Genomic DNA, 24,038 nt, shown 5'->3' with positions numbered 1-24,038 from the left:
ATAAAACCCCCTGCATTTCACTGTGGATCCAGCAACCCATTTTTCTGGGACCCCTGTGTGCAGCAGAGAGCTATTCTCTTTCTTTTGCCTATTAAACTTCCATCGTCAATCTCACTCTTTGTGTGTCTGCATCCTTGTTCTCATGGCTATGAGACAACAAACCTCGAGTGTTACCCCAGACAATGAGGCTGCTTCACAGTGACATGATCTCTGGTCACTGTAGCCTCCACCTCCCAGGTTCAAGCAATTCTCATGACTCAAGCCTCCCAAGCAGCTGGGACTACAGGTAGGTACGACCATGCCCAGCTAATTTTTGTATTTTTTAGTAGAGATGGGGTTTCACCATGTTGGCCAGGCTAATCTTGAACCTGAGCTCAAAGCAATCCACACGCCTCCGCCTCCCAAAGTGCTGAGATTAAAGGCATTAGCCAGTGTGTCTGGCAATTTAGACTTTATAATAAAGGTAAAGCTGATAAACTGACTAGCAAAAGAAAGACACAATATGGTATGCGTTTTGGATATATCACTCTAGAGAATTGCTCAGAAAGAGGCAGACTAGAGGCAGGGAGACCTATTGGAGACTATTTCAGCAATCAAGAAAAAAAGTGGATGCCCAATTGAAGGTCATAATTGCAGCAATACTGAGAAATTGACAAAGTCTTAAAATATATAAACCACATGGTTTTTGAGATCTTTGATATAAGGAGGGATAGAAAACATAACTCAGAGGAGATGTTCGGGTTTTGGTAACTGAATGAAAACACAAGTTGTGAGATACAAAACAATAAAGTAGAAAGTTTAAGGCTGGGAAGGGAGGAAAAATGAGAACATTTGATATGTCAGGAAAAATAAAGTTACTCTGAATTCTTAAAGCCAGGTAATTTGTAGTCTGAGAAAAGTAAAGCATGTTTCAAATATGTATTGTGGAGAATGGGAACATGAAATAACCAACACTGAGAACCCAGGTGCAATTGAAAATGAAGAACCAGTGCTGGCACCGTCCTGACCTATTCTGTGATTTTCACCACCAGTGCTCAGCCAGCCACATGCTGAGGCATGCAAGGACCTTCAGGTTAATCCACGATTGATGGTGCACTGGTGAATGAAACAAGAAGTCAGTGGAGCAAAGAACAAGGGAAAATGAGGCTTGGAGACAGCTGAAGGTTCAGTGTTTCAATAACAGGCATAGGAGAATAACTGAATGCAAGAGTTTAAAATGTGGTTCTCATCTGTGGCTGCATATTGGTATCACCTGGGGAGCTGTATAATATACTGATTCTTGGATCCCACCTCTAGAGATTCCAATTTAATGAATCTGAAATGCAGAAATTTTGAAATTGTCTCCAGATACTCTAAAGTGCAACCAAGACTGAGAACCATTGAGCTGTAATGGATATGGAATTGATAATTGGTTGCTTGGCTCTAACATTGGAAAGGAGAAGAAGTAATGAACTATTAAAAAAAAAAAAAGTCTAGAATGTAGCTTAGAGAACAGCTGGATGAAGTACTCTGGAAGTAAAGGACACCACAGATGTGGGGATTAAAGACCCGAGCGGAGAAGCAGATGGGCCATCTACATAGAAAATGCTACCCAAGGTGACGGCCAAACTTGGAGTGGGGAGTCAGTTGTCTAGTTTAAGTTAATCTTTGATTTAAAAGACAAGTAGAAACCAGAAGTTGATGATCCCCTTTACAAATTATATAACATAACTCCTTAAACAAATCTAAAACTTAATATCTTATATGAATTTATAAAATGTTAATACATTTCATATTATTATGTATAAAATATAAAATGAGATAAACTGTAAAGGTAAATCGGTGGTATTGATAAAATCAATTCAGAGGACTTCATTGACCTCTTCAGTGGGGAAAAAGGTAGTATTGTACCTGTGACCTAGAAAGCATAGAATACAGAACAGAAGCAGTTGTGTGTATAGGCAAATGACATTTTGCAGGTATGAATTTTTAACATAAATGAATGGGCCTACCCTTTTTTCAGAGCTTATATTTATCTAATAAGAAACTGAGTATTCCTCTTCCCTGTTGTTTACCCACCTCAAGACACTTTATCTAAATTAACAGTGAAAAGGAAGAAAATATTTCTAGCAATTTTTTATCTGGTCCTATACTCATCTAGTTCCTACCAGTTGGTCAACTGGAGAGAAAATATTTATATAACACTAGATAGTATTTGACAGTGCTACAATAGCAACTGCTTATATTTAGATTAGAATGTGACTTTGTGGCTCTTTATGTGACCATTTCATTCAGTAAGACTATCCTACTCAGGTCCTTTAGGCATTTCAGAAAACAAATTACTTTGGTTGAAGTTCAGGATTGATTCATCTTACAACAAAATTTTTATGTGGTTGACATAATCCTGGAATTTTCTCTTTAAATTGTAGTGTACAATTTGGAATTATAATAGATATGTTTTGCTTGCTTTGTTTTCTAAATTGCATGTTACATTCATTTTTAAAATATTTTTCTTTCTCTGGGATTTTTTGGTAGTGTCAATTCTATCTGTGTATCCATTGATAGCCTATGACTTGACTAAGAAAGTATCACTAACAATAATTATAGAATCCAGTTTCCCCAGTATGTTTTCACAGGGTAAATATAGTTGTTAAAAACTAAATCAGTACAAATCTTTCCCTACAGTGTTCAAATGGCACTTCATTATTATATCCACCACATATTAGAATGTTATTTAAAGATGCTCAAAAAAAGACTAGATTGTAACTAGAGTAATGTATTTGGAAACACAAAGAAAAATGTATTAATCATGAGCAATATAACCAGAAAGACAAATGTTGGCAGCGGTCCATCCAAGCAGAGATAAGTAGACACTGTTTACTAGCCCACACTTATTTCTATTGCAGAAATGCTAGTAAAGCCTCAGATCAAATATGTAACTTATCCTGATCCCATGTACATAAAATCTATTTCTGGTTATTTGTGGGAAAAAAGCACTCTGGCAAGAAGACAGGAGTGTTGGATTATGTTGGCTCTTACATTCCTTATTGTCAAATAACATGCTGCCTTTATGATTTATACACTTCAATCTCCTGTGAATTTAGTTAGTGTGAGTCATCCAACACATCTGACTAATTATAGGGTATTGACAAGATTGAGTCTCTGGGCCTGTGAAGTTGGACCAGAGTGAAGTCACCAATGTCATAATTCTACTCTGTGTGACCTGTTGACCTCTTGGAATTTGACTCTCTGGCTTCCCCAACCTCAAAGCTTCCAAAATTCCATAATGATATTCTGTATTTACAAGAAGAGATTAGCTACAACACAAGGAGTAAATGGGGTCTCCTTCTGCCAATCAAGATATCTCCATGTGATTGATATATGAACATTATAATTGAACACTTACATCAAGACTCCCCTCTTTACCCCCCCATTCACTTACACAGAAAAAGTCAAAATAAATTACTGTAGTTACAGAATTATTTTATTGTAACAATGCCTTTACAATAAACAAATATCATTGGGTTTTCTAAAAGTGAAATCATTTCAAGCATAATGAAGAAAATGAGAGACAATATGATGTAGTTGAAGAAAAGTTTTTAAGATATTAAAACTTTTAATATCTTTTAATAGTTTTAAGATATTAAAATTTTAATATCCTGGGCATTATGGCATGTACCCAGGAATGGACAAACCTTGCCCTACGCAGCATCATTCTTGGTTGGATGGCAGGAGGGGTCTGCACGCCAGGATCAAGAGGAGAATGAGAATCAAAGGATGACTTCATTAACACAAAGACAGAAAAGCACAGGAACACCCATTGGTGTGCTCTGCTTGTATTGTCAGAAATAAAGCCGAGGAGAAGCCATGTAGGCACCCACCTTTGCTTACCATGATCTTCATCCTTCACATCCTCCACTCATACAAACAAACTTGAGTAAAAACCTTGAGATCTTGCCACTTTCTGAATCATACCTCTGTATGGATAAAGTTGAGAAAAGAAGGAATTGGCCTGGGTGAAATTACTGTGTGAGTTTATGAAGTGAAAGAGGAAAGAGAGAGCAGAGTTTAGGCTCATACCTTTCAAGGTACAGGGACCCTGCCCACTTAGTTGTGGCCAAACAGGGTGAGGGAGTAATGAGTGGTCAAGGGTGCTGGGTAGTCAAAGGAGCATGGAGAGGTAGGATTGGCACAGAATAGATCAGCTGAAAATTCCCCTAATGCACAGTGTAAAAGGAAAAACCTCAGGCTTTGGTATCAGATAAATCTGAGTTCAATATTAATTCATTCCTAATTGGCTTTATGGTTTCTGTATGATCCTCAATTTCCTAATTTGTGAAATGTGAATAGTAATTTCTACTAGGAATATTATGAATATTAAATAAAAGTCAAAACAATAGTGACTGGCACAGAGTGGGTTCTCAATAATAGATGGTTATTATTACTAAATATGAAAAATTTGTTGATCACACATACTTGGTTTAAAGGAGGGTTCATCTAACAGATAAAAGAGCCAGATTTGTTATGCTCAATATTTATTTATTTAGCATTTTTTCTATACTAAAAATAGCTTTAAACTATTTCACTTAAGTATCATTTTCTTTTACTTACTACCAAAATCATTCTAATAACTTCATTTCTCTATAATTATCTAGGGACTGAATCATTCTCTCACACATACTCACTTTCATCAATACTTAGGAGTGTCTAAGAATATTCATTTGGGATCAGTCTAGTCATACCAAATGTGTATTCAATCTGCTACAATAATTGAGATAAATTTTGTTAGTCATAGTCACTACATCATTTTATTACCTTGTCATGAAAATATATACAAGCCTTTTTTCATTTTCTGAATATGAATTTTATTCAACATTCCCATCCCCTGGGATTTAGAGACGTACCAAAGGTTGCATAGCACCAGATTATTTCATCATGGAATTGTGAAATTAAGAACTGTTCTGCCAGAGGCTCCTGGTCGACAATAAATGGCGAAATTCAAGACTCTTTTACTAATGTATGCCCTTAGTAGCTTGTTTTTAAGACAGCAGTACAGAATGTCTCCGTGTGATTAAACTTGAGGAAACCTTAATTCACGGTTAACTTTTACTTAGCTTCCGTTCTCTATCACTTCCCTTTCTTTCATGTTTGTATTCGTATATGAAGAGATCCCAAAAGAAAAATGTGTGTCACAAAAAAAGGATTTATAATCAGAAAATGTGAGATTCATTCTCTGGTTCCAACTCTGTGACTTAGATAAGTTACTTAACCACAATCAGCTTCAATTTCTCATCTGTAAAATGTAAATTGTATATAACTCTCAGAGCTGTGGGAAAAATTGAATGAAACATCTGTAAAGTACCTAGCCTCTAAGATACTCATTGAATGCTAGATTACTACTTCCCTTGTCTTCTCTTATCTTTTTCTTTTCAGTAATAATAATAATAGCAACTACCTTAACTACTTTGTAACTGCTTTTAGAATATGAAGAATATGATCAATTTAAGGGAAACGTAAAAGCACAACTTCAGCTGTTATTCCACTAATTTTCATTCACTTGGAACTCTAATATTAGTCGTGGTTACAGAGGGGCTTTATATATCTCAAAGAGTTGTGAAGATTAAAAGAGAGAACTTTTTCAAAATACTGTCAGCTCTTTGAAGCATCTCTGTGCCTCAAAGTGAATTTAAAGTGGTCAATAAATATTTGTTTAAAGAATGCTTGCTAAAGACTTAATGAACAAATAAAGGTAAATGTGCTTCGTTAATTGTGTTACACACACACACACACACACAAGTATTCATTATGTTCTTAAAAAGTCGAGAGGTAAATTTGTTTGGATTAATCTTCCATTTTATAGTCTTCCCTTGTAGTTTGACTTGAGCCGGTTCATAGAAAATGAAAAGTTACCTTAGATTACATACAAAACCCTGAGTTTCTAATGAGAAGACATTATCACTAATGAAATAAATGTCTATGCACCATTCTGAAAACACAACTGTAGCAATTATTTTTTCCATTCATCAGTGACAAAAATATGTTAGTGGAACATGAATTGAAAGAAGAATATCTAAAGTTTGGTTTTTATAGTTATAAAAATAGAATTCTATTAGATTAAATTATATTGACTACAATAGTTTCATAAATACTATATCATCAATAATCTGTTACATTTTTATTATTCTTATTGTAGTATTCTATTCCTAGTAAGATACTTTGGAAATCAACAGCATCATTGTATATAAAGTTTTTAAATTTAATTATCAAGTATTTTCTTTAAGGGAGGATGGGGGTAGTGAAGGGTGGGAAGAAGAAAGAAGATGAAGAGGAGGAGGTGGAGAAGAAGATAAGGAAAAGGAGGAGGAAAAATAAGAGGAGGAGGAATCAAGCAGACTCAGTAATAACAAAATGTAATGTCTTTGGGTCCAAGAGGGCACAGAATAATGTTCCTGAGGACCATGATAAGTACTCTAACAAATTGTTCCTTGCTCTTGCAACATTAACTTTGCCCTAAGAATCAAGTTCTTCCTTAAGGATGTTGAAACATCTGTTCTATAATTCAAAGACACCCAGGGGTGAGTATAGTTGGGACTATTTCAAAATGTGTTTTTAAACAGAATTATATGAGCTTTTTGCATTTTCTATAATCGATACTCTGATTAATAAAGTATCTGTAAAACTTTAAAATAATATTACAGAAATGTAGACTTCTTTAAACTGACAACTAAACTTAAGTTTCTTCTTTGAAATAAACCATTTGTCATTTGTCACTGTCATTTGTCATTAGACTTCTGAAAGCAAGTGAAACATTTTTCAAACTGTCTGAGAGCTGCTAGCTACATATGTGTAATATCAAGAAAAGGCAAGCCCTATGTTAACATTTAGGGTGAAAAATCAGGTTACGAACAAACCTCAAGGGATTACTTCTAAAGTTTCTCAGGGTGATGCTGAGAGGAGGAACTAATGTACCATTGACCCCGCACCCTCAGACCTAAGAGCTCTAAGTGTAAGCACTCCACCCTCACACAGCTGCATGGCCCAATTTAGGCATATGTTCTTGAGAGGAAAAAGTCAGGAAAAAAAAACAGAGAGATTGCACAATCCCAGAGATTTTGCCAACGTGCTCCCCAGCTTGCCTGAGACACCCTGGATCTGGCTCTCAGACACGCTGAAAGGGCTTTCCTTGATCTCCACAAAGCCAGAAGCAGGGCTGCTCTAGCAGCCAGTTGATTCTCCTGGGTCAGTTAAACCCAAGTTTAATCGCCTCGTAACATCTGGATGCAGCAGAGAAAGACTCTTTGTTGTCATGTCCAGCATCAGCCCAACACAAAACTAACTAGCTAAATCATATTCTGTCTTCCTTTTGATATTTCAGTGTATGATTTTCCTAAATAAAAATAGGCAGAGTTTATTTTGGGGCAGTAGGCTTCTCTTTTCTTTATATTATGGTTTTTTAAGAAAAATTCTCTGTGAAAAAACATTAAATATATTTACCCAATGCTACAATTAGAAAAAATAGAATTTTCCAATGTTAAAAAACTGATAATGTCAACAGAAATTTAGAGTCATAATAGAATTATTTAAAACATCATTATTCCTATGAAGATCAAAATAATCCTTTATTTCATATTATCCTCTGTGGCATAAGATACTCAATAGCTAAAATGTATCTGTTTTTTAAAAAAGTCTGGTTTTTGAGTCCTCTCCTTTAAACCAAGAAAGACATGTAGGTGGGGCAAGGGAGAAAAGAAACCTAAAATAGGAAGAAGAAAAAAAACAAAAGGAAGGAAGGAAGGGAGGGAGGGAGAGGTGAAGGGGGAGAGAGAGACAGTAAAGCAATAATATTTTCTTTCTTTATTGTCTGAAAAGACACAGTAATATTCCTGGGGATGATGACAAGCACTCTCTGATAAAGGTGTGCTGTGCATTAGGACTTTTGTGTTTGGTTCTTTATGACTGACATTCAGAGAAAATAATCAATGTATGACTATTAGAATTTTTCTTGGGTCCTAAAAGCAAAAGTGCAAAACCAGCATAGTGTTTCCAATACAAATGGGCATACATATATCACATATATCCCAAGTAGGGTATGTAACATACCCAAACAAGAAAGCACTCATTAAGACAGAGTTTTTGTACTATTTTTACTTATTAACCCTGGTATTACCTCAAACATGAGTTTTCTCTGTCTTTACTTTGGCAGGGAACCTACAAAATTCTGTTCTAACTGGACAATATCTATTTTAAGTCTCTTCAACAGACTACACTCTTGAATCCAAACTGGAACTGAGTTATGTGTTTGTACAGAAAACAATACTTTCTATGCAACACCATTAACTATTCCCTAGAAGCAGCAACTTTACATTTTACTATTTAATTACTTTATACTAAGGGCACGTGCATTACAACAGGTCCACTATGTCCAATAGTTTATTCACATGACAAGGCCCTTCCTGATCATGGCCATTAGAAGATACAACATATAGAGAGGCACTATCCCTAAGGTACTCAGGAAATGTTAAGTGTCCCAATAAAGAAAAATATTTGTACATCCCCTACAATTGCTCACTGAATAAATAAATTATAGCATGTTCAATCAATGAAACCAGATACAGCTATTAAAAATGAAGACTATGACAAATACAAAAAACATGAAAATGTTTGATATAATGTTAATTTGTTAAAAGAAGGTGACATTCAAAGTTATAAATGTATTTGTGTATCTACATGTTTGTGCTTGAGTATATATGTGTGTGTGTATACATGTGCCTATACACACACATGCAATGGACTGAACTCTTGAAAATATATTGAAAAATATAGATAGAAATGAATTAAAATGTTCACAGTCACTGTGTTAATGCAGAGTTGTATATAGTATTATTTTTGTTTATTTTCTCTTTAGAGGTTTTTGTAATTCATAGTTTTTAATATTTTTAATGGAAAGAATTTAGAAAACATTATGCAAAACTTTTCAGATCTTTTTTTTAAGAAGTCCAATATGGAACATAAAACTCTATTGGTATATATCTCTAGAATATACCCACCTTGACCCAGGTAACACCTTAAAACCAGGCACACACCCCTTCCTCAGTGAAATGAGTTCTTTAGTTTTTAAAAGGCACAAATTTGTATTTATGACAAAACATTAACACAAAATAGATTGTCTTTTCTTTTGAAATAAGATAATATAATTAGGAATTTTTATCATACAAAACAGAGGGAAACAATCTTAAAATTATTAACAACTTTTTAATTGCATGTTTTGCGAAATTGTGCTATTTCCAGACATAACTTTTTATTTAACTGCTATTTTCCTATTTTTAAAAATGGAGTCATCATTTCAAATAAAGGAAAATAATATGGCCACAGCCACTTTTTATATTTTTTCAATGTTTAAGGATTTCTAATTACTCTATGCTGAAATTTAATCATATATCTTCAGTTCTGTCTGTAATGTTATTAGCATAATGTTCTCCTAGCACAGCTCTACCAGCTTTTAACCCGGCTGACACTTTTCCTGTATTTGTGCTCTGTTTAACACAAGCAAGCCTGCAGCTTCCTGTGTGATGGTGATAACATATGACTGGTTTTGTTGTTGGCTGCTGGATTGAAGAGGAAGACAATGCCCTTTGACCTCTGTCAAGTAGAATAAAGCTTATCAGATCCTCACCAGATATCATTAAAGGAAATGGGCTGAGAAGGCTGCTTCTGGTAGGAAACATATATTTTAGAAAACTGTCACTGCTAATCTTTTTTACTATGGCACTAGAAAATCACTTCTGCAAATTTCAGTCCTTCCAGACAATGAAAACATACTAAGGTAAACTGAAGAAACTAACAAGAAAACCATAACAGGCAGTAAATTACTCCCTTGCAATGCCCTTTACCAAAAGAATTTACTCACAATAATTATTAGAAATTGATTCTCAACTCCATTGTGTTAAAAAGGTCAAGGACTAATGTAAACTTCTATACATTTTTTAATCAAATACAAATATATGGATTATCTACATTTAAGTTACAATAGATTTATTCCCAACTGAATTAATTCAGTCTCTTAGGAGATTCCATTAGGCAGAATATTGATAGTCACCCATTCAAATCTCCTTGCCCTCTCCCCATCCCCACCCTTAAATGTACATCCTTCTATTCAAACTATCCCAAGAGAAAGAACTATGCTGTTGTGTTACGTCAGGGTCACAAAACCAAAAGGCCACCCACACTAGAAAGATAATGTAAATGAATATAGTTGACGGGGCAATTGGACAAAATGAAGAAAGTATTCCCCAAGTAAAGAAGGCAGCTCTATTCAATTTCAACTTATTATTACCTTAAGGAATTTGAGTCCACTCTTTCGGATCTTTAATTTTTCAGGAGAAATCTAGAATCCAGATTTCTATATAAAACAACCCAATTTTAAAATTGTGACAACATATTCAAAATTACTTTTTACAAACACTGGGCTAGACAAACAAACAGATCTATTAGCTGAACTTGGCTCATGAGCCACCATTTTGCAACCTCTAGTCTGGGACGAACTAAATGACATACAATTAGTCATCCTATCAGCATTGCATTGAGTTTGTGGTAAGTAAGTAAATTGTGTCTCTACTTCTTGTGGGTGTTTTGTGTCTTGAAGCTAATGGGATAAGATAGGTCCTAGAGGTTCCTTCTGCTTGGATTGGGGCCAGGTGAAACCAGAGAAAACTCCAGTAGAAAAGAAATACAGAGTGGGAAATTTAGGCCAATTCTATTTTGCACCTTGGGATAAAGGATAAGAGGTGCTTCTGAGACTGCTTTGAATTCTAGTTCTGCTCACTAAGAAAACTATATTGGAATTTGGGCTAAAAATCATGGTCATAGAAAGAACTGTATGTTGGTCAAATGTATCCCTTAGGCATACGTCATTCCATTACTACATGTGATAGGCCAATGGGTAACTGAACAGGGATGTGAGTTTCAGATTCAAGTGCTGATAAAATTTACAGGAGTTCCCCAGTAAAATCTAAGACTGGAGAATTAAATACATTATTAATAATAATACCTTAAATGTATAAATTTTTTACCAATATTTTCTATTTTCTAATTCATCAAGTCCATGAATAGTCAAAACTAGCAGCTTTATATAAACATTAACTTTTGAGAATGATTAGAAGTAAAATTAGTACCGAATTTATCAATGTATATATAATTATTTACAATGAATAAACACTAATGTTAATTTCTACACAAAATATTTTAAAAACTCAACCACAAAAAAAATGTTATAGGTAACATCAGCAAGATGTCAGAATAAAAGGCCCCAGACCCTCCTCCCTCTCATGGAGATATCGATTCAATAATACCTACCCTCATTCCCTTTATGAGAAATCTAGAAACCAGTTAAAAGACTCTTTTTATCCCCAAGGAAACAGGAAACCAATTGTATCAAAGCTAGTAGAAAAATTCATAGCATCCTATTCTCTTTTGCCACAGTACTTTTCCCTGGCACAATGCCACATGATCAGGAAGAAACACTCAGCTCCTGGCTTCTCCCTAGGGAGTAAAAGAGAAGATGGAAATACATGCCCAATGTTCTGACTTTAGTGGAAGCTGCCAAGGGGATCAGCTTCTGTCTGATCTTTCTTGGAATGCTGATGGGACCCAGAATACTCTGGCTGCCTGGGGGCCACTACGAACAATAGAGCTGAATAGCATGCTGTTGCTTCAGAGGGACCACAGTACAGCAGGCAGACGCTGATAATGACTTTATGGTCTATTGCTCAGGTTGCAAAGAAAAGAACAGGACAGGTGTTTTGGCTTTTGGGGGAGCTGTCCAAGGGACTGATTTCTGTCTCTTTTATCTCAAAACATGGACAGCACTCAGCATAATCTAGATGGCTAGGGACCAATGAAAAGAAAAACAAGCTGAGCAATGTGCTCCTGCTCTAGAGGGCCCATGGTACAGCAGAGAGAAGACAATATAGCTCAGTGGACTCTCCCTCAGGGGGAAAAGAGAAGAGTGGAATATGCATCCAAAGATCCAGCTTTTGGAGGGGATGCCTGAGGCACTGGTTTCTGTTTAGTAAAACTTGGGGTGCTGATAAGACCCAATATCTTCTAGATGCCTGCGGGCCACTGAGAACAAGAACAAGCTGAGCAACATGCTCAGAGAAGATACATCCATAGAAAATGTTTCAGAAATTCTCAAAATCTCTAGCTAAGCTGATTAGTGAATGTCTTTTCCTTTTATAAAGTCAATCTGTAAAGACTAGGAGAGGTGACTGTCTTTTCAAATGCATAGGTACCAACACAAAGTTACAAGGAACATGAAGGAAAAGAGGAAAATAATCCAATCAAAGATACAAAAAAAAAAATTCCAAAAACCAACCATAAAGAAATGAAGGTATGTAAATTTCCCAACAAATAATTTGAAATAACCATAAATATGCTCAATGAGCTGAGCAAAAATGATACATGAACAAAAAGATAATTTCAATAAAGAAACAGAAAATATAAAAAAGAACTTAACAGAAATTTTGGAGAGGAAGAATGCAGTGAGTGAACTAAAAAATTTACTAAAGAGTTTCAACAGCACACTTGACCAAGAAGAAAAGAGAATAACTAAACTTGAGTCATTTTAAATTACCCAGTCAGAGGAACAAAAAGGAAAAGAAGAAAAGAAGTGAAGACGACCTAAGCTTCTTATAGAACACCATCAAGTGGACCAATATATGCACTATGGAAATTGCAGAAGAAGAGAGAGGAAGAGAAACATAAAATTTATTTTTTTAATTGATGAAAACTTTCCAAATCTGGGGAAGAAAATAAACACCTAGATTTAAGACACCCAATCTAACCAAATTAGGAAGATCCAAAGAAATCCACGCCATGCCACATTATAATCAAATTGTCAAAATTCAGACAAAGAAAGACTTTTGAAAGCAGCAAGAGAGTAGCAACTTGTGATTTACAAGACAACTCCCATTAGACTATCAGCATACTTCTCTACAGAAATCTTACAGATGAGAAGAGAGTGTAATGGTATTGATGGCATATTCAAAGTGCTAAAATGAAAAAACTGCCAACAAAGAGTACTAGATTAGGTGAAACTCTTTCTCAAAAATAAAGGAAAAATACAAAGTTTCTCAGATAAGCAAAAGCTGAGACAGTTCACCACTGTAAGACCTGCTTTACCAGAAATGCTAAAGAGTCCTTCAAGTTGAAATAAAAGAGATAAAACAGCAACAGCAACTTCTATACAATTATATAAACTGTAAAGCTTGTTGATAAAGGTAAATATATAGACAAATACAAAATACAATAATAACGTAATTGTAGTGCAAAAATCACTTTTAATTTTGGTATAGAGTTAAGAGACGAAAGTATGAAAATAACTACAACTATATTAAAATGTTAATAGATACACAATATTAAAAGATGTAATTTGTGACATTAATAACATGAAGAGGGGGCAAAAATGTAGTTTTTGTATGCAATTGAACTGAAGTTATCAGCTTAAAATGGATTGTTATAACTATAAGATGTTTTATGTAAGCATCATGGTAACCACACAGAAAATGCCAATATAAGATACACAAATGAGAGAGGAATCAAAGCATGTCCCTACAAAAAAAAAAAAAATCAATGAAACACAAAGGAAGACAACAAGAGAGGAAAAGAGGGGCAAAAGAACTATGAGATAGAAAGCAATTAACAAAACTGAGGTAGTAAATTTTTCCCTATCAATAATTACTTTAAGTGTCCACGGATTAAACTCAACAATAAAAAAATCTAGAGTAGACATAGTGGTTAAAAAAAAGACAAGATCCAACTATATGCTGACTATAAGAGACTCACCTTAGATTTAATGACACACATAGGCTGAAAATAAAAGGATGGAGAAAGATATTTCAGGCAAATGGTAACCAAAAGAGCAAGAATAGCCATACTTAGACAAAATTGACTTTAATTAATTGACTTTAATAAAATGTCTTTATTAAAATTGACTTTAATAAAGTGTCACAAAGAGACAAAGAAGGATATAATAATAACAAGTTAAGAACAGGTTCAACTTGTTACTATTGTAACAGGAAGATATAACTATCTATCTATCTATCTATCTATCTATCTATCTATCTATCTATCTATCTATCATCTATCTGCACTCAACATCACAGCACTTAAATATGTGAAGCAATCATTGACAGAATTGAAGGGCAAAATAGGCAACAAAATAATAATAGCAGACTTCAATATACTACTTTCGACATAGATGTAAAAATCCTCAAGCGAATACACTAAATTTATATATGTACACACACATATATATACATACACACACACACACACACACACACACACATATATATATATATACACATATTCCACCCAACAGCACCAGAATACACATATTTGACAAGTTCACATGGGACATTCTCCATGATAGATCATATGTTAGGTCACAAAACAAGTCTTAACAAATTTAAGAAGATTGAAATCATATGAAGGTATTTTTCCAACCACAATAGAATGAAACTATATATCTATAGCAGTAGAAAAACTGGAAAATTGACAAATATATGGAAATAGAAATGAAATAGAAACTAGAAAAAAATTAACAAAGTTGGTTTTTCAAAAAAGTGAGCAAAATTGACAAATCTTTAGCTAGACTAAGAAATAAGATAGAATAATCAAACTAAATCAGAAATGAAAGAAGAATAACTGATACCACAGAAATACTAAGTATCACAAGAGACTATTCTTAATAAATAATTATATACCAACAAATTAAATAGCCTAGAAAAAAAAGTGGATAAATTCCTAGGCACACATAACCTACAAAGGATGACTCATGAAGAAAAAGAAAAATCTGAAGTAGACCTATAACAAGTAAGGACAGTGAATCAGTAACACAAAGATTGCCATCTAAGAAAAGCCAAGGAACTGATGACTACACAGCTCTATTCTACCAAATATGTAAAGAACTAATATCACCAGGCACGGTGGCTCATGCCTGTAATCCTAGGACTTCAGGAGGCCAAGGTAGGTGGATCACCTGAGGTCAGGAGTTCGAGGCCAGCCTGGCCAACATAGTGAAACCCCATCTCTACTAAAAATACAAAAATTAGCCAGGCGTGGTGGCACCAGCCTGTAATCCCAGCTACTCAGGGCAGGAAAATTACTTGAACCTGGGAGGCAGAGGTTGCAGTGAGCCAAGATCACACCATTGCACTCCAGCCTGGGCGACAAGGGTGAAACTCCATCTCAAAAAAGAAAAAAAAGAACTAATATCAATCCTTCTCAAGCTCTTTCAAATAACTGAAGAAGAGGGAACACTTTCTACCTCCTTTTATGAGGCCAGGATTACTTTGATACTAAAGCTAGACAAGGACACTAGAAGAAATAAAAATTATAGGCCAATACTGTAATGAACATAGATGCAAAAACCCTCAACAAAATACTAGAAAATTGAATTTAACAGCATTTTAAAAGGATTGTTCACTATAATAAAATGGGATTTACCCCAGGAATGCAAGGACAGTTCTACATATGCAAATCTATAAATGTGATACACCACACATTAAAGAATGAAGAACAAAAATCACATGATCATCTCAATAGATGTAGAAAAAACATTTGACAAAATATAACATTCTTTTATAATAAAAACTCTCAACAAATTAGGTGCAGAAGGAACATATCTCAACACAATAAAAGCTATCTATGATAAACCCACAGCTAACAGAAGCTTTCCTTCTAAGATCAGGAACAAGACAAGGATGCCCATACCTACCACTTCTATTCAACATGGTACTAGAAGTCCTAGCCAGAACAATTAGGCAAGAGAAAGAAATAAAAGGGATCCACATTGAAAAGTAAAAAGTTAAGTTGTCCCTGTTTCTGGATAACATGATCTTATATACAAAAAACTCTGAAGACTCCACACACACACACACAAAAAAAACATTATGACTAATAAGCAAATTCAGTAAGGTTGCAGGACACAAAATGAACATACAAAAATCAGAAGGATTTCTATACACTAACAATGAACTATCCAAAAAAGAAATCAAGAAAACAATCCCATCTATAATAGCTAAAAATATAATATGATAAAATACCTAGGAATAAATTTAACCAAGAAGGCAAAAGGCCTGTACATTGAAAACTAAAATATTGATCTAAGAGATTGAAGAAGATACAAATAAACTAAAAGATATCCTGTGTTCATAGGTTGGAAGAATTAATATTGTTAAAATGTCCACACTACTTAATACGATCTACAGATTAAATGCAATCCCTACCAAAATAACAATAACATTTTCACAGAAATTGAAATAAAACTTAAAATTTTATTGAAGCACAAAAGACCCTGAACGGCCAAAGCAATCTTGAGCAAAAAGAACAAAGTTGGAGGCAACACACTGCCTGACTTCAAAATACACTATGAAGCTACAGTAATCAAAACAGCCTGATACTGACATGAAAACTGACCAAGAGAACAGAATAGAGATCCCAGAAATAAATCCACATGTTTATGGTCATTGATTTTTGACAAAGGTCCCAAGATACAATGAGGAAAGGAATGTTTCTTCAATAAATGGTTTTGGGACAACTGATTATCCACATGCAAAAGAATGAAATTAGATCCTTATCTCACACTAGATACAAAAATCGACTTAACATGGATTAAAACTTAAGGGTAACACTTGAAACTGTAAAAGTTGCTAAAAGAAAACAAGAGAAAACCTGCATGAAATTGGTCTTGGCAAGGATTTTTTAAATATAAACCCAAAAGAACAGACAACAAAAGCAAAAATAGACAAATGAGATTAACTAAAAACTTCTGCATAGCCAAGAGAAAAATCAACAGATTGAAGACAACCTACAGAATGGTAGAAAATATTTGCAAACCATACATCTGATAAGGGGTCAATATCCAAAACATATAAATAACTCGGACTCAGTAGTAAGAAAACAAATAGTAGTAAGAAAACAAATAGTAGACTCAGTAGTAAGAAAACAAATAATCCAATTTAAAAATAACCCAATTAAAAATAGACAAAGGACCTAAATAAATATTTCTCAACAAGAAGACATACAAATGGCCCACAGGTATATTTTTAAATGCTCAAAATCACTAGTAATCAGAGAAATGCAAATTAAAACCATAGTGATAAATCATCTCACATCTGTTAGAATGGCTATCACTAAAACAAAAAAAACAAAAAAGATAACAAGTCTTTGGCAAGGTTGGAAAGAAAAGGGAATACTTGCACACTGTTGGTTGCAATGTAAATTAGTATAGACATTATAAAGAACAGAATAGAAATTTCTCAAAAAATTAAAAGTAGAACTACTACATGGTAGATCCATAAATTTCACTCCAGGGTATATCCAAAGGAAATGAAATCAGTATGTTGAAGAGATAACCTGCAATCCCATGGTTCTTGCAATATTATCCACAATGACCAAGATATGGAGTCAATCTAAGTGTTCATCAACAAATGAACAAAGAAAATGTGATATATACACACAATACGATACTCTTCAGCTTTAAAAAAGAAGAAAATCTTGTCATTTGCAACAACATGGATGAACTTGAATGAAATAATGCTTAGAGAAATAAACCAAGCACAGAAAGACAAATACTGCATGATCTCACTTAGACGTGGAATCTAGAAAAGTTGAACTCAGAAGTAGAAAGCAGAATGGTAGGTAGCAGGGGTTAAGGGTGGCAGTAGTTGTTTGTCAAAAGGCACAAAATTTTAGTGAGATAGAAAAAAAAAGTTCAAGAGATCTATATGGTGTACCACATGGTGATTATATTTAATAATAGCATAGGAGGGGACGTTTTTTTTTTTTTTTTTTTGAGATGGAGTCTTAGTCTGTTGCCCAGGCTGGAGTGCAGTGGCGCCATCTTGGCTCACTGCAACATCCACCTCCTGGGTTCATGCCATTCTCCTGCCTCAGCCTCCCGAGTAGCTGGGACTACAGGCACCAGCCACCACGCCCAGCTAATTTTTTATATTTTTTAGTAGAGATGGGGTTTCACCGTGTTCGCCAGGATGGTCTTGATCTCCTGACCCCATGATCTGCCCATCTTGGCCTCCCAAAGTGCTGGAATTACAGGCATGAGCCACCACGCCCGGCCAGGAGGGGACTTTTAAAAGTTCATGGAAAATGTGTATTATCAAAAACTATGCATAGATTTCAAAGTTTTCCTGCACCAAAATAAACTCATACTAACTTGTTATGGCATGTCTGAACAGGACCTAGTTTCAGGCATGAGGAAGGACATCAGTTTGAAAGGAGCCCCTATTTGAACAACATGAATTCTACTAAAATTGAAGCAAACATAAATATCAAATTTATGGTGAACCCTGGGTAAAAGAATGCTGAAATCACTGGTGCTTTATGAAAAGTTTATGGAGACATTGCCCCAAAGAAATCAGCAGTTTACAAATGGATAACTCATTCTAAGGAGAGATCAGACATGTTGAAAATGAAGCCTGCAGTAGCAGACCATTCACATCAATTTGCAAGGAGGAAATTAATCTTGTTCATGGCATAATTGAAGAAGACCAATGATTAATAATAGAAAAAATAGCCAACATTATAGACATCTCAGTTGGCCCAGTTTACACAATTCTTACTAAAAAATTAAAGTTAAGCAAACTTTCCACTTGATGGTTGCCAAAACCATTGCACCCAGATCAACTGCAGAGAAGAGCAAAGCTTTCAATGGAAATTTTAAACAAGTAGAAGAAAGCTCCTGAAGCATTGCTTTGAAGAATTGTATCAGGAGACAAAACATAGCTTTGCCAGTATTATCGTGAAGACAAAGCACAATCAAAGCAATGGCTACCAAAAGGTGGAAGTGTTCCAGTCAAAGCACAAGGGGACTGGTCAAGAGCAAAGGTCATAGCAACAATTTTAGAGATGCTTAAGGCATTTTGCTTGTTGACTTCCTGAAAGGCCAAAAAATGATAACATCTGCTTATTATGAGAGGGTTTTGAGAAAGTTAGCTAAGCTTTAACCAAAAAATGCCCAGGAAATCTTCACCAGAGAGTCCTTCTCTACCATAACAATGTTCCTGCTGATTCCGCTCATTAGTCATTCACCTTACAGTGCTGATTTGGCTCCTTTGGCTTATTTTTGTCCTAATCTTAAAAAATCTTTAAAATGCACTTATTTTTCACCAGTTAATGTAAAAAAAAGACTGCATCGATATGGTTAAATTCCCAGGACTCTCAGTTCTAATGGGATGGACTAAACGGCTGGTATCATCACTACAAAAGTGTCTTAAACTTGATAGAACTTATATTGAGAAATAAAGTTTATATCTTTAATTTTTATCGTTTGATTTCATTTTTCACAAACTCTTTGAAGTCCCCTCATGTCGTATTCTTAAAATTCGTAGAGATTAGATTTTAAGTGTTCTCACCACAAAAACGAGAATGTGAGGTAATACATATATCAGTTAGCTCAATTTAGCCATTGCACAATATATACCTATTTCAGAATATGTTTTATGTGATAATGTGTAATTTTTATTTCTCAGTTAAAAATATATGTTTATTAAAATATGGCTTATATATATACAATGAAATATTTTTCAGCCATTTAAAAAAGGAAAATCTGTCAGAAGTGACATGGATGAACCTTGAGGACATTATGCCAAGTGAAATAAGCCAGTCTCAGAAGGACAAATATTGCAATATATTCTACTTCTATGAGGTAGGTAAAGTAGTCAAACTCATAAAAGCAGAAAGTAGAATGATGTTTTTCAGGAATTTGGAGGAGAGGGAAATGGAGAATTGCTTTTTAATGGGCATAAAGCTTCAGTTATGCAATATGAAAAGTTCTAGAGATCTACTCTACAATAATGTGCTTCTAGTTAACTATGCTATACTGTGTACTTAATTGTTAAGCTAGTTAAAAAAAGAGTACTATAGTTTCATAGCACACAAATCACTTTGTTTGAGATATGATTGCAACCTAATGATGAAATTCAAATAGGCCGGGTGCTGTGGCTCGCACCTGTAATCCCAGCACTTTGGGAGGCCAAGGCGGGCAGATCACGAGGTCAGGAGATCAAGACCATCCTGGCTAACACGGTGAAACCCCGTCTCTACTAAAAATACAAAAAATTAGCTGGGCATGGTGGCGGGTGCCTGTAGTCCCAGCTACTCAGGAGGCTGAGGCAGGAGAATGGTGTGAACCCAGGAGGCAGAGCTTGCAGTGAGCCGAGATCGTGCCACTGCACTCCAGCCTGGGCGACAGAGGGAGACACTGTCTCAAAAAAAAAAAAAAGAAATTCAAAGAATAGTCATTGGGACAACATTTGTATCAACTTGTCCATTTTTTCTCAAATGGAATTACTCAGGTAAATTACAAATCTATTTCATGGAATGTACAACACTCAACATATTTTGACCATCTTACAAGTGTCAGATAAGAGTACAGATTTTTTTAGAAACCTTCTAAAACTGACATTTCACTCCACTCCCAGCTCTTGGGACTCTAGAACAGTGTTAAAATTCTGAGTCTAAATTTGGCACATAGTAATTCTCAGAATTTCTAGGATTTCAATATAATCATTACTTGTAAATCCTCACTCTCTCCATCTTTCTGTAGTCCATATCTCTTACCTCCAGTTGGAGATGTCTTTGTTAAAATGCTACCCTGTCTGGTATTTCATACACTGTAAATAGCTCCAATACCTTGTTTCTGCAGTCTTCTACTCTCAGCACCTAATTTCCCAACATTTAGCACAGGCTGTTTTTGTTAAAGGAACAAACTTAGCTCTTGTAAAAATGTGAAAAGAGGGTATAGGGTAAATCTCATAGAACACAAAAAATGAAGAAAACACAGCCTTTAAGAAAACCAGATCTGAAAACTGAAGTTTGTAGTATCTGGCTGCTCATCACATCTCAGCTTCTCTCACTGCCCAAGAATATGGGCCTCGAGTCAGACTACCGAAGTCCAAAATCTTGTTCTACTATTTACTAACTGTATGACTTTAGATAAACTAGTAGTTTAAATAAGTTTTATTTTCCTCATCTGAAAAATGTGAATCAAAACAGAAGCTTCCTAATAAAGCTGTTGGGACATTAGAGACGTAAAGCGCTTAGAATGATGCTTATAGTATGTAATAAGTGTTCCATATATGACTATCTCTTCTTATTTCTGTGTCTACATTGAATCACTCTCTCTCATTGTGGCTGCCACCTTAAACTCTCTAAACTCTACAGCCACCTGATCCTTCTCCCTGATTGGCTCATCATCCTATTTGAGTCATGCAGCACAAACAATTATTGGTTAATATTAGTTAACTCTCCTCCAATGACTAAAATAATTGTTGGCTGCAGTCAGGATTCTGAGACAGAAGATGCGACCATGCTAAATTTACACAGGGAATGTGACCTTTCTTGCACACAGTGTCCCAAATCTATAAATTACATACATTTGGTAAGTCATTGGTCACAGTTAGAGTCACTTTTCTACTGCCATTTCTAACAAGTTAATGGCACATATACGAATAGGTCCAAAGTGTACTTATTTCTACTTGAAGATGTTTTTTTCCTGGGTCTCTGAATAGCTATTTTATATTAAGCAAGTTATTTATTTCACCTCTCTGACCACTGGTTTTCTCAAATATATAGTGTAATTTAAGTAGATCTGTTGTTTCTCAAACTCTATCTCCATGTACCCACAGCAGATGGTGGCTCTCAAGTGCGACATTCTCCTGTGGACTGTAGCACAGATGAGATATGGGAATAGATTATGGGCAATTGTAGCTACTTTCTCTGTAACTTCACCTCTTTTCTTCCAACTCGGAAAAAAAAAGTATGCACATCATTGGGTAAATCAGAGCACTTGAAACAACAAAAATAGACGTCTCTAAGAACTTTTTGATTCTGAGTTATAAATCAAGACAAGCTCAAGACAAATTCAAAGATCCTTTAGATAATCTACTTTCTTATTCTTAGTACTATTTCAAGAAATATTTCATAATATGTCTTAAATATAGAAGAATAATTTATTTAAAATATCTTTCTAGTTTATTTTTGGATAAATAAGCTAGCTGCATATGGGCACTTGTTTTAGTCAGTAACATTGGCCCCCACCCTCCTTGAAAAAGAGTTTAATATAAAACAGACTTAAACCTGAAATTATCTTCTTTCCTCTAAATTATTAGCATAAATATATTTCATTAACAAAAATATCTTATAGTTTTTTTATAGTTTTATATTATTCCAATATTTCTGTAGGGCCAATTACTCTCTCAGGCTATTCCCACTAGGCGCATCCCTACATTAATGCCAAACAGAACAATTCTTTAAGCACAGGATTTCCTGTTCAGTTGCTGCAAAATTACAAGGACCTTGGTTGGAATAACTTGGAGCCAAGTACTTAATAGTAAGTAATAATAGCATATATTGAATAGACTCCAAATAAAAATGTGGGTCTACCTAAAGAAATCATTTTTATTCATTTTCTATTTTGTTTTAAAGGTATTAACACGTTTCCCCAGTTCCACAAAGTAAAGGATATATCCTATTATTTATTTTAAGGTTATATATTATGCCTAACTTAATATAACAAAATGCATTATTTGAGTTACTGTCTATTAACTATTGTGAGACTCTAATGATAGCATTGCTAACACATTGTGATCTAGGCTCCTTAAATTTTCTAGTTAATTCTCTCCTCTTTTCTAGATAATAATATAAAAATCATGCTAAATTTGACTACAGAAGTTAACTGCAATATCTTAATCAGTGAATAATATAGTTTTCAGAGATCTGAAACCAGTACAGAAAATATTGGAGCAAGTACAGTAAGTGAACACCAAGGCAAACCCCAAAGAGGTGGAACTGTAATCATTCAAGTGAATGGATACTTTGGAATTCCTCAGGAAAATGCCTTAGATACCAACTCATTTCAAGCACAATATGAAGTTACTGTAGAAAGTAGTGGTACAGGTTTTGTAACTACGGTAATCAAAATTCTATAATTGTGTGCCGCAATTGCAATCCGAACTGGTTTCTAGACTGACAGTTTTCTCAGCAAGGAATGTCATTTACTGCAAATAACATAATAAAATGTCTAAAATAACAAACACTTTCAATTATCTCACATAATCAATAATCCGAAGGTGGGCAGTTTTAAGGTTTGTTGTTGAGCTAATGATGACAAAGTTCAGGGGCTTTCTACAGTTCTCTTGGCCTCTCCTTTAGACTTGCAAGATGGCTACCATAGCTCCAGATGTAATTTGTCTAGAAACGGGAATCTGGAAGGGGGAGGGAGAAACCAGTGGGACTGGACTATGACAAGTTTGTATTTGTTCCTTTTTTTTAATATGAGAAAGAGACATCTTTCCTAAATGTTCTCCAACCGATTTCCCCTTGCTTCTTCTTTGTCTGAACAGACACATGGTGATTCCTAGGTGAAAAGAATTATGAGAAATGGACTCCCTGACTAAGGAAAATAGGATTGCCATGATTGGCTAAGACCACTTCTTTTTGTTTTGTTTTGTTTTTTTGAGACAGAGTCTTGCTCTGTCGCCAGGCTGGAGTGCAGTGGCGCGATCTCGGCTCACTGCAACCTCCGCCTCCCGGGTTCAAGCGATTCTCCTGCCTCAGCCTCGTGAGTAGCTGGGATTACAGGCTCTTGCCACCACGCCCGGCTAACTTTTGTATTTTTAGTAGAGACAGGGTTTCTCCGTGTTACCATGATGGTCTCAATCTCCTGACCTCATGATCCGCCCTCCTCAGCCTCCCAAAGTGCTGGGATTACAGGCGTGAGCCACGGTGACCACCTGGCTCAGACTGCTTCTAAGTTTGCACAAACACATCTTTGATTCCTTTAGCATTCAGAGGGGGTGAGTCTCCAGAAAAGAAGAAGAAAGAAGAAAGAAGGAGGAGGAGGAGGAGGAGGAGGAGGAGGAGGAGGAAAAAGAGAAGGAGGAGGAGAAAGGAGAAAGAAGAAAGAAGGAAGAATGAAGAAGAAGAAGAAGAGAAACTACTGATACACATAATAACATGGATGAATCTCAAAAGCATCA

The 24,038-nt window shown here is 35.1% G+C and overlaps 3 annotated features.

The window, feature by feature from the left end:
• Positions 5,285–5,485: a silencer, noted in NCBI's record as "peak3975 fragment used in MPRA reporter construct". NCBI's record gives its function as "represses an SCP1 promoter by STARR-seq MPRAs in K562 erythroleukemia cells {active_cell/tissue: K562}" and the evidence as "EXISTENCE:reporter gene assay evidence [ECO:0000049][PMID:32103011]".
• Positions 14,894–15,071: a silencer, noted in NCBI's record as "fragment chr2:187744049-187744226 (GRCh37/hg19 assembly coordinates)". NCBI's record gives its function as "represses an EF-1alpha promoter that drives an FKBP-Casp9 reporter gene in an ReSE screen in K562 erythroleukemia cells {active_cell/tissue: K562}" and the evidence as "EXISTENCE:reporter gene assay evidence [ECO:0000049][PMID:32094911]".
• Positions 23,285–23,485: a silencer, noted in NCBI's record as "peak3974 fragment used in MPRA reporter construct". NCBI's record gives its function as "represses an SCP1 promoter by STARR-seq MPRAs in K562 erythroleukemia cells {active_cell/tissue: K562}" and the evidence as "EXISTENCE:reporter gene assay evidence [ECO:0000049][PMID:32103011]".

The sequence above is a fragment of the Homo sapiens genome, chromosome 2, assembly GCF_000001405.40.
Source record: "Homo sapiens chromosome 2, GRCh38.p14 Primary Assembly".
In the NCBI taxonomy this organism is placed as follows: domain Eukaryota; kingdom Metazoa; phylum Chordata; class Mammalia; order Primates; family Hominidae; genus Homo; species Homo sapiens.
This window is presented reverse-complemented; position numbering and strand designations above follow the sequence as displayed.